The sequence below is a fragment of the Homo sapiens genome, chromosome 6 (assembly GCF_000001405.40).
Source record: "Homo sapiens chromosome 6, GRCh38.p14 Primary Assembly".
NCBI lineage: Eukaryota > Metazoa > Chordata > Mammalia > Primates > Hominidae > Homo > Homo sapiens.
Genome location: NC_000006.12, coordinates 107,841,155 through 107,856,835, shown reverse-complemented (window position 1 = coordinate 107,856,835; position 15,681 = coordinate 107,841,155). Strand labels below are relative to the sequence as shown.

At 43.3% G+C, this 15,681-nt stretch overlaps 1 protein-coding gene across 1 annotated transcript in view, besides 2 other annotated features; it reads left to right on the top strand.

Moving 5' to 3' along the window:
- Positions 8,357–8,651: a silencer, noted in NCBI's record as "tiled region #13974; HepG2 Repressive non-DNase unmatched - State 4:PromP, and K562 Repressive non-DNase unmatched - State 4:PromP". NCBI's record gives its function as "represses a minimal TATA promoter and a strong SV40 promoter by Sharpr-MPRA in HepG2 and K562 cells {active_cell/tissue: HepG2 | K562}" and the evidence as "EXISTENCE:reporter gene assay evidence [ECO:0000049][PMID:27701403]".
- Positions 8,486–8,585: a silencer, noted in NCBI's record as "silent region_17444". NCBI's record gives its function as "represses an Ori minimal core promoter by ATAC-STARR-seq in GM12878 lymphoblastoid cells {active_cell/tissue: GM12878}" and the evidence as "EXISTENCE:reporter gene assay evidence [ECO:0000049][PMID:35858748]".
- The window catches only part of SCML4 (Scm polycomb group protein like 4), a 143,885-nt gene continuing 139,001 nt past the window's right edge, over positions 10,798–15,681 (top strand). The window contains exon 1 of the mRNA XM_047418598.1: positions 10,798–11,014. The gene's annotated coding sequence lies outside the window, so the exon portion shown is untranslated. The remainder of the gene's footprint in view (positions 11,015–15,681) is intronic.

Genomic DNA, 15,681 nt, shown 5'->3' with positions numbered 1-15,681 from the left:
CTGAATGGGCAAAAACTGGAAGCATTCCCTTTGAAAACTGGCACAAGACAGGGATGCCCTCTCTCACCACTTCTATTCAACATAGTGTTGGAAGTTCTGGCCAGGGCAATTAGGCAGGAGAAGGAAATAAAGGGTATTCAATTAGGAAAAGAGGAAGTCAAATTGTCCCTGTTTGCAGATGACATGATTGTATATCTAGAAAACCCCATTTTCTCAGCCCAAAATCTCCTTAAGCTGATAAGCAACTTCAGCAAAGTCTCAGGATACAAAATCAATGTACAAAAATCACAAGCATTCCTATACACCAACAACAGAGAAACAGAGAGCCAAATCATGAGTGAACTCCCATTCACAATTGCTTCAAAGAGAATAAAATACCTAGGAATCCAACTTACAAGGGATGTGAAGGACCTCTTCAAGGAGAACTACAAACCACTGCTCAAGGAAATAAAAGAGGATACAAACAAATGGAAGAACATTCCATGCTCATGGGTAGGAAGAATCAATATCGTGAAAATGGCCATACTGCCCAAGGTAATTTACAGATTCAATGCCATCCCCATCAAGCTACCAATGCCTTTCTTCACAGAATTGGAAAAAACTACTTTAAAGTTCATATGGAACCAAAAAAGAGCCCGCATCGCCAAGTCAATCCTAAACCAAAAGAACAAAGCTGGAGGCATCACACTACCTGACTTCAAACTATACTACAAGGCTACAGTAACCAAAACAGCATGGTACTGGTACCAAAACAGAGATATAGATCAATGGAACAGAACAGAGCCCTCAGAAATAACGCCACATATCTACAACTATCTGATCTTTGAGAAACCTGACAAAAACAAGAAATGGGGAAAGGATTCCCTATTTCATAAATGGTGCTGGGAAAACTGGCTAGCCATATGTAGAAAGCTGAAACTGGATCCCTACCTTACAACTTATACAAAAATCAATTCAAGATGGATTAAAGACTTAAACGTTAGACCTAAAACCATAAAAACCCTAGAAGAAAATCTAGGCATTACCATTCAGGACATAGGCATGGGCAAGGACTTCATGTCTAAAACACCAAAAGCAATGGCAACAAAAGCCAAAATTGACAAATGGGATCTAATTAAACTAAAGAGCTTCTGCACAGCAAAAGAAACTACCATCAGAGTGAACAGGCAACCTACAAAATGGGAGAAAATTTTTGCAACCTACTCATCTGACAAAGGGCTAATATCCAGAATCTACAATGAACTCAAACAAATTTACAAGAAAAAAACAAACAACCCCATCAAAGAGTGGGTGAAGGACATGAACAGACACTTCTCAACAGAAGATATTTATGCAGCCAAAAAACACATGAAAAAATGCTCACCATCACTGGCCATCAGAGAAATGCAAATCAAAACCACAATGAGATACCATCTCACACCAGTTAGAATGGCAATCATTAAAAAGTCAGGAAACAACAGGTGCTGGAGAGGATGTGGAGAAATAGGAACACTTTTACACTGTTGGTGGGACTGTAAACTAGTTCAACCATTGTGGAAGTCAGCGTGGCGATTCCTCAGGGATCTAGAACTGGAAATACCATTTGACCCAGCCATCCCATTACTGGGTATATACCCAAAGGATTATAAATCATGCTGGTATAAAGACACATGCACACGTATGTTTATTGCAGCATTATTCACAATAGCAAAGACTTGGAACCAACCCAAATGTCCAACAATGATAGACTGGATTAAGAAAATGTGGCACATATACACCATGGAATACTATGCAGCCATAAAAAATGATGAGTTCATGTCCTTTGTAGGGACATGGATGAAATTGGAAACCATCATTCTCAGTAAACTATCGCAAGAACAAAAAACCAAACACCGCATATTCTCACTCATAGGTGGGAATTGAACAATGAGATCACATGGACACAGGAAGGGGAATATCACACTCTGGGGACTGTTGTGGGGTGGGGGGAGGGGGGAGGGATAGCATTGGGATATATACCTAATGCTAGATGACGAGTTAGTGGGTGCAGCACACCAGCATGGCACATGTATACGTATGTAACTAACCTGCACAATGTGCACATGTACGCTAAAACTTAAAGTATAATAATAAAAAAATAAATTAAAAAAAAAAAAGAAAGTGAAAAAAAAAAAACCAACAAAAAAAAAACAGTGTGGTGCCGGTATAAAGACAGACATATAGACTGATGGAATAGAATAGAGAGCCCAGAAATACACCTTACATATATGGTAAAATATTTTTTTCACAAGGGTGCCTAGATCATTCAACGGAGAATGACAGTCTTTTTAACAAATGGTGCTGGCAAAACTGGATATTTGCATGCAAAAGAATGAAGGTAGACCATTACCTCAGACCACATACAGAAATTAACTCAAAAGTATCAAAGACCTGAATGAAAGACCTAAAACTATAACACTCTTAGAAGAAAACATAGGGCAAAAGTTTTATGACATTGGATTTGACAATTATTTCTTGGATACAACATAAAAAGCATGAGCAATAAAATAAAAAATAGACTGGACTTCATGAAAATTAAAAAAATTTGTGCATTAAAAGACACTATCAACAGAATAAAAAGGCAACCCATAGAATGGGTGAAAATATTTGCAAATCACTTATCTGATAAAAGATTACTATCCAGAATATTTAGTGAACTCCTAAAACTCAACACAATAACAACAACAACAAACCCACCTGATTAAAAAATGGGTAAAGGACTCGAATAGAAATTTCTCCAAAGAAGATATACAAATGACCAATAAGCAAATGAAAAGATGCTCAACATCACTAATAATTATGGAAATACAAATCAAAATCACAATGAGATAACATCTCACACCCAATACGATGGCTACTACCAAAAAAAAAAAAAAAACCCAGAAAATAACAGGTATTCATGACAATGTGGAAAAACTGGAACTTTTGTGAAATATTACTGGAAATGTAAAATGGTGTGCCTGCTTTAGAAAGTAGTATGGTGGTTCCTCAAAAAATTAAAATTAGAGGTACCGTAGGATATATGGTCCAGCAACTCTACTTCTGAGTATATACCCAAAAGAACTAAAAGCAGGGTCTCAAAGAGATATGTGTATACCTGTTTATATCAGCATTATTTACAATAGCTAAAATGCGGAGCAACCTAAGTGTCCATCGATAGATGAATAAATAAAACAAAACGTGATATAGATATACAATGCAATATTATTCATCCTTAAAAAGGAAAGAAATTATGATACATGCTAAAACACAGATGAACCTTGAGGACATTATGCTAAACATTATGTTAAGTGAATACACCAGTCACAAAGAGACAAATACTGTATGATCCCACTTACATGAGGTACTCAGAGTAGTCAAATTCATAGAGAGAAAACAGAATGGTGGTTGCTGGGATGGGAGGAGGAATGGGGCGTTAGTGTTTAACTGGTGTAGAGTTTCAGTTTCACAAGATGAAAAGAGTTCTGGAAGTGGATGTGGTGATGATTGCACGTTATGAATGTATTTAATACCACTGAACTGTACTTATTTATTTATTTATTTAATTTTGAGACCGAGTTTTGCTCTTGTTGTCCAGGCTGGAGTGCAATGGTGCAATCTCGGCTCACTGCAACCTCTGCCTCCCAAGTTCAAGTGATTCTCCTGCCTCAGCCTCCCAAGTAGCTGGGATTACAGGCACGCACCACCATACTTGGCTAATTCTTGTATTTTTAGTAGAGATGGGGTTTCATCATGTTGGCCAGGCTGGTCTTGAACTCCTGACGTCAAGTGATCTGCCCGCCTCGGCCTCCCAAAGTGCTGGGATTACAGGCGTGAGCCACCGCGCCAGGCCTGAACTGTACTCTTAAACCCAGTTAAGATGGTGAATTTTATGTTGTGTGTATTTTACCACACTTTTAAAAATTGGGGAAAAAAACCAATGGGTATTGGACTGTGTGGTATTGGGACAAAAACAGATAGGCCAATGATATAGAATGGAAATCCAGAAACAGACCCACATATGTGGGCAGACTCACACTTGATGTACGGGACGAGTTGGCATTACAGCACCATGGGGAAAGAAGGCATTTTCGAAATATAGTGCTGGGGCAATAGCATATCCAATTGGGAAAAAAATGTTACATGGTCCCAGCCTCACGCCTTATGAAACAATTAATTCCAGGTGGTGTATAAATGTAAATCTGAAAGGCAAAACAATAAAAGCTTTTAGAATATAATATAGGAGAATACATTCATAACCTTAGGATAGGAAAATATTTCTTAAACAGGATACAAAGAACGTATATAGAAAAGAAATAAATTGATAAATTGAATTACATCTAAATGAAGACCTTTTGTTCTTCAAAGACACAATAAAGAAATTAACAAGGCAAGACACATAGTGAGAGAAGATATTTGCCACACATGTAATTGACAAAGGACTTGTATCCACACTAAACAAAAAGCAGCAAATTGGTAAGAAAAAAACTAGACAACCCCACAGGAAGACGGGCAATAGGCCTTTTTTTCAAAAAGGCACTTCACACCGCAGATGGATTTCTTCAGAAGCAGACCCTGGAAAGGAGTTTGCGGTGCAAGATGTTTATTAGGAATCAAGATGTTTATTGTGAACAAAGAGGGAAGAAGCAGGATGGAGCAGAGAAAGGAGTTGAACTGCGATGTAGCCTAGCACAGCTTGGGCCAACCTGGTGGGGCTTGGGAGTGGAATTGCTTATCAATCCGCCCCATTCAGGCTGAACGGCTGTGCTTTGGCCTTCCCTTGCTCATTCAACACTCAGTCATACTCAGGAAGAGCATGACCTTGGACAAGGTGGTTCTCTGCTGTTCGGGCAGAACCTGAAGGAGCTGGTGACCGTCTGCAAACCACACTCCCCACAGCTGGGCTGCAAGTCCTTGCTGGAAGGAAGACTTGAACGCCCTAGCTCCACGTCTACTGCATGTCCCAAGACAGCATATCCTAATGGCCAAGAAATACATGAAAAGCTGTTCAAGCTCTTTATCCATCAGGGACACGCAAATTGAAGCCACGATGAGCTATTAATTCAAGCTCACCAGAATGGCTGAAGTTAAAGGGATGGACCATATCAAGTGGAATTGAGAACATGTAACAACTGGAAATCTCATATATTCCTGGAGGGTGTGTACATTTGTGGATCACTTTGTAAAACAGTTTGCCGTTAGTTACACTTCTAGATATTTACCCGAAAGAAATGCGTGCACGTATGCACCAATAGACATGAACAAGAATGTTCACAGAAGCTCTATCACAATAGCCCTAAACTAGAAACAGCCTAAATGTTTACCACTAAAAGAATGGGTACATTTTTCTGTGTTTATCCAAGGGTTGTGGTAGGCAGCCTTTCAGATGATTCCTGCCTCCTGGTGCTCACATCTTCATGTGGTTCCCTCCCATGTGGGCCAGGGTTCTCCTACGTGACCAGTGGCTTGTGGGCAGCAGTGATGCTGTGCCACGTGACAGGCAACGTGACATTACAGCTTCCATCTTGGGAGCTCTGTCACTCACACTCTGTCTCTTGGCTTATTTGCTCTGGGGAATCTATGTCATGAGCAGCCCTATGGAGAGGCCCAAGTAGTGAGGAACCCAAGTCTGTCAACAGGCTTGGGAGTGAGTTTGGAAGAGGCTCCTTTAGCCCCAGTTAAGTCTTCAGAGACGACAGCCTCAGGCAGCAGCTTTGCTGCAACTGCATGAGAGGACCCTGGGCCAGAGCACCCAGCTAAGCCACTCTCAGATTCCTGACTTTCAGAACGTATGTGAAATAATAAACGTTAGTCTAAAGCTGCTATGTTTTGGGGTAATACATTATGCAGCAGTGGATAAATAATGCATTAAGATTCCACAAAGTACTGGCCGGGCATGGTGGCTGATGCCTGTAATCCCAGCACTTTGGGAAGCCAAGGGGGTGGGGTGGGGGTGGGGGGTGGATCACAAAGTCAGGAGTTCGAGACCAGCCTGGCCAACATGGTGAAACCCCATCTCTACTAAAAATACAAAAATTAGCCGGGCCTGGTGGCGGGGGCCTGTAGTCCCAGCTACTCGGGAGGCTGAGGCAGGAAAAATCGCTTGAACCCGGGAGGCGGAGGTTGCAGTGAGCCAAGATCGTGCCATTGCACTCCAGCCTGGGTGACAGAGCGAGACTCCGTCTCAAAACAAAACAACAACAACAGCAACAACAACAACAAAAAGATTCTACAATTTAACAAAAACAAATGAAATGCAGTTATACATGTTGACATGGGTAAATTTTACAGATGACTCCTTGTGTTATTTCATTATCTGAAGATCAAAAAATGGGTAACAATGAAGTACAGCGTTTGGGGATGCATGCCTAGATGGTACAAAAAAAATAAATCAAGGAACTGATTATCATGAAGGTCAGGATGGTGTTTACCCTTAGGGGCAGATGGGGTGGACACTGGGAGGGGGCATGAGGAAGGCTTCTGAACTCTTGCCAATGTGCTATTTCTTGATCTGGTTGGCGGTTGTAAGGGTTTTGGAGAAATCATCAAACTGTATGTTTCTGGTTTTGCCCTTTTTCTCTGTGTGTGCTATATTTCACAATAAAATGACAGAGAATTGGAGGAGAGAACTTGGAGAAAGTACAGACTTTTTAGAGGAATTTTGTTGCAGACAGGACAAAAAACAAAACAAAAACTAGTAGTAGCTGGAAGAGAAGTGGGGTCAAGATTTTCAAGAATGAGAGAAACAACAGTTGTTTTCTGCAGAAGGAAATCACCCACTGGAAAGGGAAGGTGATAAGGCAGGAGATAGGGATTGCTAGAGCCATGCTCTGGAGTGGGTGAGGGGAATGGTCCTGGGCTGAGCTGATGCCAAGGCCCTAAGGACCTTCAGTCAGGGCTCTCCAGATAAATCGAACCGACAGGAGATTGACAGATAAACACACACACACGGATGTATATATATCTCCTATTAATAAATCTCCCTCTATTTCTCTAGATGGATAATCTATCCATATAGACATATAGATGTCCCTCTCTCTATAGATAGATAATAGATCTTTCTATCAGTAGAGACAGATTGATTGATTTTTTAAGGCACTGGCTCATGTGATTGTGGAGATTGAGTCCTAAATCTCAAGGGTAGATCAGCAAGCTGGAGACCCAGGGAAGAACTGATGCTGCAGTCTCAAAACCAAAGGCCTCCTGGAGGCGGAATTCCCTCTTCCTCAGGAAGGTCGAGCTTTCTCCTTTCTTAAAAGGAAAGGACCTTTAACTGATTGGGTGAGACCCACCCACATTATGGAGGGTAATTTACCCAATCTACTGGTTTAAATGTCTCTTTCTCTCTCTCTTTGAAGATTGGGTTTCACTCTGTCGCCCAGGCTGGCAGTGGTGTAATCTCGGCTCACTGCAGCCTCGACCTCCCGGGCTCAAGCAGTTAATAGTTTGGAACCACAGGTGGAGCCACCATGCCTGGCTAATTTTTAAAATTTTTTGTGGAGACAGTCTCATATGTTGCCCAGGCTGGTCTTGAATTCCTGGACTCAAGTAATCCTCCTGCCTCGGCCCCACCTTAAATGTTATTCTTATCTGAAAAATACATTCACAGCAACATCCAGATCAATGTTTGACCAAGTATCTGGGTACCTTGGTCTGGCCAAACTGACCAATAAAATTAGCCATCTTGAATACAGCGTTGGCTCTGACCACTCTGCCCTTAACTTGCTGGGGGACGGGCGGGGTGGGGGAAGAGCCGCGTGGGGCGTAAGCACAACCCTTGCCCTTGATTTTCACTCAGAACACCTGAGTCTGGATTCTTCCACCTCTTAGAGAACATTCCCACAGCCTTGAGGGAAGGGGAAAGAGGATGAAATCATTGTGTGAATAATGTAAACCAAGTCTTCAGACCTCGATCTTTTCATTTTGGGTTAGCTGCAAGAGCCTGAGGATGTTACTGCTGAGTGAGGAGGATGTTCACATGTATTTTTCCTACAGCTTGACAAGTCTTATATTTGAAAAGATGAGATTTCCGTATCACACAAGGTGGCTAACTGGTGGGGCCAGGAAAGCATTCAGTTCCCCAATGGCCTAATGCCTGCAGAGGGGAGTCGGCAAAGGTGTTCTCAGGAGCGACGGGGGATCTCCCCTGGGGACGTCAACCGGAGGCTTCGTTCTGCCACCAGAATTTGGTGAGCAGGTAGGTGCTCCGTGGGATTCACAGCTGGGATTGCTTTGCCTGTGAAGACACTGCACGTGGTGTCTTCGGTGGAAACGGCCACTGTCTTCTTCCTGCCCCACGAAGCCCTAGCTCCCCCGAGGACTCTGCCGTGTTCCCTTCCTCCTTCCGGTCCAGGCGCTCAGCCCCCGGAGTCCGGATTCCAGCGGCAGCAGGAGAAATGAGCGGGCGGCTTCTCCCTCTGTGGCCACCAGGGGGCGCGAGGTGGCCGACCGGGGCCCGGCCAGGCTGGTCAGGGACTGGGAGATCCGCTGCCTCTTCTTGGAGTCCCGGGCCGGCCAGTGGGGCTGGAGCGACGCTGCCGTGCCCCCGGCTCCCACAGACCCCTCGCAGCCACGTCCCGGACTCCACCACTCTGGAGCTCAGGGTGGCCTCCGGCATTCGTTGAGTCAGACCCAGAGTCCCGACCGTCTCCCTTAGACCCAGCTGTTTCTCCTTGGACTCAGACGCAAAAAAAGGGTCCCTGTCGCTTCTCTAGTTTCTAGCGCCTTGCCTCCTAAGGGGGCTCCCCAAGGCCCGACCCCCGACCCCCGTCCTGGGGGAGGGGAACAGCTGCAGTTATTGCCTCAGAGCCTCTCCTAGCCGGGGGACAGATATAACCGACCCGGGCCATCAAGCCCGACCCTCAGTAGGACGCCCCTCACACAGCCCGTGCGTTCTGGCAGAAAGAGGGTCTCCAGATCCAGCACACCCCAAAAAAGATGCCCAGTTAAATTTGCATTTCAGATAAACAACAAATGAATTTTTAGTATAAACATGTCCCATGAAGTATTTGGGATGTACTTACACTTTGAAAAAGCTTTCCTTGTTTTTCTTGAAATGCAAATTTGACTAGGTGTCCTGTATTTTTCTTCTAGCAACTCTAGCCGGGAACGGATTTAGGTGCAGGGAGGGAGGGGGAAGCTTGAGGAGAAATAAAAACATGTGGGAAGCCCTCACTATGCAAGATACTTATTTCTATTTGGTCTTTTGAAAATCTATCTATATAATTCCATTTATAAAAACCCAGCTAGCTTTTTAAAAATCCTACTTCTCTCTGTTTTGTTTCAGGTAAGATCAAGTACAACCTTGTCTGTGACTTTTTTTATTTTTATTTTTTTTAGACAGGGTCTCACTCTGTCACCCAGGCTGGAGTGCAGTGGCACCAACACAGCTCACTGCAGCCTCTACCTCCCCAGCTTAAGCAATCCTTCCACTTCAGCCTCCGGAGTAGCTGGGACCACAGGTGTGCATTACCATGCCCAGCTAATTTTAATTTTTTTTTCTAGAGACAGAGTCTCACTATGTTGCCCAGGCTGGTCTTGAACTCCTGGGCTCAAGCAATCTTCCTACCAGGGCCTCCCAAAGTGCTGGAATTACAGGCATGAGCCACCATGCCTGCCCCCTACCCCACAACTTTTTTAAAAAGTTAGCTTTCTTAACAGATTTTTAAAAGAAGTGACTGATCATTTAAGTCATGGCACGTAGCTAAAGCTGCTGCCCTTCATGTCTATAGAAAATTTTCTTCAGAGGAGCTGAATATATTTATATTAATTTCTCTTTATGGGCAAATGTATATTTTGCTATTTTTGGCAGGGATTTACTTTTTGACGGGGGTCCACACTGAATAGGAATGATTCTGTGGGGTAGACATAGGGACGTCATGATACAGGTACCACCTGTACACCACCCTGAACAAGACCTTGTTCAAGACAAGACCCTCCTGGGGACCTTAACTCCTGGGTAACCATTTCACACCCACTATCCTATGGGACACACACACATGCACACACACAACAAACATGTAATATGTTTCTATTACATTTAGATTTTGGACCAAGGGTCTCAATCCATCCTAAGGAACCCAGCCACCTATAATATTCCTAATAACACTGCCTGGCCCTGCTTGAGTTCATTGCCCTCACTCCAAAGATGGGTGGCTCAGATGCAGATGAGCTCCCCCTTGGCCCTGACCTGCCTGGGTCTCAGAGGAGAGGAGGCCAAGTGTATTCATCTGCTAGGGCTGATGTAACAAATGCCACAATCAAGGGGGCTTGGACAACAGAGCTTGATTGTCTCACTGTTCTGGAGGCAGAAGTCCACACTCAAGGTGTCAGCAGGGTTGGCTCGGTCTGAGGCTGGTGAGGGAAGGATCTGTTCCAGACTCTTCTTGGCTCTGGGATGGTTCTCGTCTCCCTGTGTCTTTGCACTTCCTCTTCCCTCTATGCGTGCCCATCTCTGTGACAAGTTGGTCCTTTTTATGAGGACACCAGTCACACTGGATCGGAGCCCACCTAATGATCTCCCTTTAACTTGTTTACCTCTGTAAAGACCCTATTTCCAAATCAGGTCACTTTCTGAAGTGCTAGGTGTTAGGATTCCAACATATATTTTTTGGGGTGGATACAGTTCAACCCTTAACACCAAGGAAACCCTGATGAATGGAGGAGGAGTTCATTGGTGCTTGACAAGGACCTTTTTCAGGATCCAGTCAGTTCCTCAGTGGACAGGCTGCTAGGCTAAGGCTTTGGCCAGGAAGGTCCTAGAACTTGGGGAGTGCTGGCCTCCTGGGAGAGTGGAGTCTGAGGCCGGCTCCGGGCTGCTGGCAGGAGGCTCACTCAGGGAGCGCCCTTCTCTCCCCACATCAGAGGCCCACTTGTCTCCTGTCACTGCAGGTGGGGACAGGACCTTCACTGGAACATTCCCCACAGATTTGCCCAACACGTGTGGCACCTGAGTTCAATGGGGAGCCAGGCATTTGTCGAGGAAAGAAACAAGGGCCCAGCATCTGGAAGATACGAGGTAAAAATGTAATACCACGTGTAGTAAATGTTCATAGTAATTTGGGTCTCATAAAGCCCTGTGTCTCCACACTGTATCCTCTTGCTCATAAAACCCTAATGTAACCCTGTGTTCTGTCATACACAATTGAAATCTGAGGATTCCAAAGAACACCCTTGCCCATTCCTTTCTGAAGGAGCGTTGTCCCTGAAGAGTTTCAAATTCAGACTTGGGTCACCTATCATCCTCTTAAGATTGTAATGTTCTAATTAGTAACAGGAAATCTCTCAAGCAAGTGAGAAAATCCCTTTTCCTCCATTCGTTTGAAAAGAAAAAAGAATCCAGGCAATCATTCTGTAATTTCCGGAGAACCGTCACCTTTCCAGTAGCTGCTAAGGCCAAGGTGAAAACAAGCTAACAGTAGATGCCATCTCCTCCTAGTGCCGGGCCCCGGAGCGTCTCTAGGCTCCAGTGATGTTAACTGGTGGTCGGGGCCTCTGGGTCCCACTGCATTAGGACAGACTGTTTGACCTCTAAGCCTAATTTCAGATGATCCTTTTTGCTGATGTGAACTCCTTTGTGTTACTATGTTGGGGATGAGATTTTTTTTTTGTTTTCTAGCTCTGTCGCCCGGGCTGGAGTGCAGTGGTGCATTCTTGGCTCATTGCAACCTCTGCCTCCTGGGTTCAAGCGATTCTCCTGCCTCAGCTTCCCAAGTAGCTGGGATTATAGGCGTGTGCCACATGCCCGGCTAATTTTTTGTACTTTTAATAGAGATGGGGTTTCACCATGTTAGCCAGGCTGGTCTTGAACTCCTGACCTCAAATGATCTGCCTGCCTCAGCCTCCCAAAATGCTGGGGTTACAGGTGTGAGCCACCATGCCAGGCCTTTTTTTTTTTTTTTTTTAATATACATATTTAAAATTAAACATTTTGTTGTTGTTGTTGAGTCGTAGTCTTACTATATTGCCTAGGCTGGTCTCCAGCTCCTGGCCTCAAGCAATCCTCTCAGCTTGGCCTCCCAAAGTGTTGGGATTACAGGTGTGAGCCACCATGCCCAGCCAGGGATATGATTTCTTAGTCTCCCTAAAATATATAATGAGTGTTAGAGGTACAGAATTTGATATGAGGACAAATGAGGTGGAGAATTGACTGCAGTGAGGGAAAGCTGTACCCCTTCCCCACTGGGACTATAGGCTCACTGTGACCTCGAACTCTTGGCCTCAAGTGATCCTCCTGCCTCAGCCTCCCAAGTAGCTGGGACTACAGGCCTGTGCTACCACGTTCAGCAAATTTTAAAAATATTATGTAGAGACAGGATCTCATTCTGTTGCCTAGGCTGATCTCCAACTCCTGGCCTCAAGTGATCCTCCAGCCTCGGCCTTCCAGCGTGTTGGGATTACAGGCATAAGTCACTGTGCCCAGTGGCAGATGATTTGAATCATTGACTTCTTGATACATTGTGAGCTCATTAGTAATTTTTTCTTAATACATTTAAGGTAAAAAGAGATTGTGATAGAAGACCATTCTACTTCTGTACTTGAGGACCAGCGCCCTTTTTTCTGCCTTCCGTCCTTGGCACTCTCCCTCCACAACAAATATCCCATCGAGTTTTCTTGCTGTCAGACTCATCGTCTCCCTTTCTCTTCCTTACACAAATTCATGTCTGTTTCCCATCATTTAATAGCTTTGTTGCATGGTTTACATTTTATTTTTAAATTCTCCTCTGTCTAGCATCTAGCTTTTCTTTTGCAAGCACATACTCATTTTGTTCTGTCTTTTCATACTGTATCCTTGATGATTTCTCCCACCCAATCTGCCATCATTATTTTTCTCTTTGCCTTTAAACTTTAAAAACATTTCCCCATTGTTTTTGCTTTGTTTTGCTTCTCTCTCTCTCTCTCTCTCTCTTCCTCTCAGTGGTGGAGAAAGCACAGTGCATTTTCCCAAAGCTGGCTAACAGTACATTGCCAGCAGCACTGGCCAACCTTCCCATCTCTTTATTAGGGTCTCCCTAATTCTGTGAACACCAGTGTGTGGCAAAGTCCCTGCCTACACCCTCTAACTGGTTTCTGGAAGTTTGGGTGGGTTATCCCTGCCTGGAAACATGTTCAATCTCCTTCTCCCGCAAAGTTGAATGTGTCTCTGGGGGCAGTGCTCTTCTACAATCCCAACTCTGCAGGGCCTGTGGGCGATGACAGCACAAATGTTACCGGCAGGGCCAGTGGGCAGAGCAGGCAGGTTGATGAAGATGTGGGTGGGTGACGGAAGTGTACTTGTGTGTGTGTGGGAGTTGTTTTCCTGGGTGATTTTGAATAAGCCACTTCCCTGTGCTTTGGAATTCCTGGTGGTCAAAGGGTACTTTACTGAAAGTTTTCAGATTGGTGCAAAATAGGTTGCTCTAAGTTTGGTGAAGCCAATTCTAGATTTGTTTTTAAATTTCAGGTTGGTGACCTTTAAAGGGGCAGTGGAACAATGTTTCTGATCACTCTTTGGGAGTCTCCTGCCTTTCCCAAAAAATATAATATGCCTTTTTTCCCTGGCTGTCTTTGGGATTTCCTGTCTTCTATTTTCAGCAGTTTGAAAATGATATACCTAGGTGTGACATTTTTGATCAATCGTTTGTTTGTTTTTGTGTTTCGCTTGATGTTTCTGAGCTTCTTAGATCTGTGGTTTGGTATCTGTCATGAATTTTGGAAGAAATCTTGGCCATTCGTTCTCCCAATATTTCTTCTCAATCTCTCTTCTCCTTTTGGTATTTTGATTGCATGCATATTAGGCGATTTGATATTGTCTCACATGAAATATAAAAATATATATTTATTATAAGTAGAAGAATGAAAAATAAACACCATGTAAGCATTAACCACAAGAAAGCCTGAGCAGCTTATAATATTAATATCTGACAAAGTACACTTCAGAATAAGAAATATTATCAGGAATAGTAATGTTACATAATAAGAAAACGGTCAACTCTCCAAGAAGACATAACAAGTGTGTACATACCTAACATCAGTGCTTAAAAAAACATGAAGCAAAAACTGCTAGAACAGAAAAGAGAAAGACAAATTCACATTTACAGATGGAAATTCCAACATTCTTCTCTCAATGGTTGAAAGAAAGAGTAGACAGAAAATCACAAAAGACCAGGCCGGGTGCAGTGGCTCATGCCTGTAATCCCAGGACTTTGGGAGGCCGACCTGGGCAGATCACTTGAGATCAGGAGTTTGAGACCTGCCTAGGCCAGCATGGCAAAACCCCATCTCAAAATAGAAAAATTAGCTGGGCGTGGTGGTACACACCTATAATCCCAGCTACTTGGGAAGCTGAGGCAGGAGAATGGCTTGAACCTGGTAGGTGGAGGTTGTAGTGAGCCAAGATCGCGCCACTGCACTCTGGATAACATCAACCAACTTGACCTAATTGACATTTATACAATACTCTACTCAGCAACAGAATACATAATTTTTTATCTTCTACATAGACTTTTCAACAAGGTCAAACATATTTTGAACCATAAAGAAAATCTTAAAACACTTTAAAAACTGGAAATTTCACAAAGTATGTGCTTGGCGCATAATGGAATTAAGCTAGAAATCAGTAAGTAAGATATTTGGAAAATTCCCAAATATTTGGAAATTAAACAACACACTTCCATATAATCCATGGGCCAAAAGGAAAGCCTCAAGACAAATGAAAAAAATACTGTGAACAAAATAAAAACAAATTATATCTAATTTGTGAATTGCAACTGAGGCAGTGCTTTAGAGGAAAATTTATGGCATTAAATGCTTATATTAGAAAAGAAGAAATGTCTCCAATCAATAAACTAAGCTCCTACCATAAGAAACTAGAGAAAGAAAAGCAATTAAACCCAAAGCAAGCTGAAGGAAGGAAATAATAAAAGGCCTACATCAATAATATTAAAACAAGAAAAACCTTCCTACCACTTCCCATGAGAGTCCTAAGTCTCTACAAAAATCAGTGAATGCAAATAGTGGTGTGTAGAGGAGGAGGATTTTATCCAATTACACAGGTCAGACTTGGAGGTGTGGGCCCTCTCCTAACCAGGATCTCTGTGAAACTAGATGTAGTAAATGTTTTAAAAAATACTATCTTCTATTTATGTCATTTTTAAAGCTGACATTTATTGAGTGCTTATGATACACCAGGTCCTGTTCTAAGCACTTTGCATATATTTGTCCATATAGTTCATACAGTCAATCTATTTTGATCCCCATTTTACAGACGTGGGAACGAAAGCATGCAGAGGTTAAGTAATCTGCCAGATTACTGCCTGGATTTGAGTCCAGGCAGTCTGGCTTCATAGCTCAGCTGTAAAGGAGTGTTTTTGCTTCTATCTGTGAGCAGGCAGTGCATGACGGAAGAAGCTATTTCCCCCGTGCTGGCACAGTGTCTGGCATGTGGAACCTCTGGATAAGTGGTACTTGGCCGATTTACAACTTGAAACCACTTTAGAATAAAAAGGGGAAGAATGTTAACCTATTAGAAAGGTGATGACTACAACTCCACTTTATTTATTTATTTAGAAATGAGGTCTTCCAGTGTTGGCCAGGCTGGTCTTGAACTCCTGGCCTCAAGCCATCCTCCCACCTCAGCCTCCTGAGCAGCCAGAATTACAGGTGCATCCCACCTCTCCCAGTTAGCTCATTTTTTTTTTTTTTTAG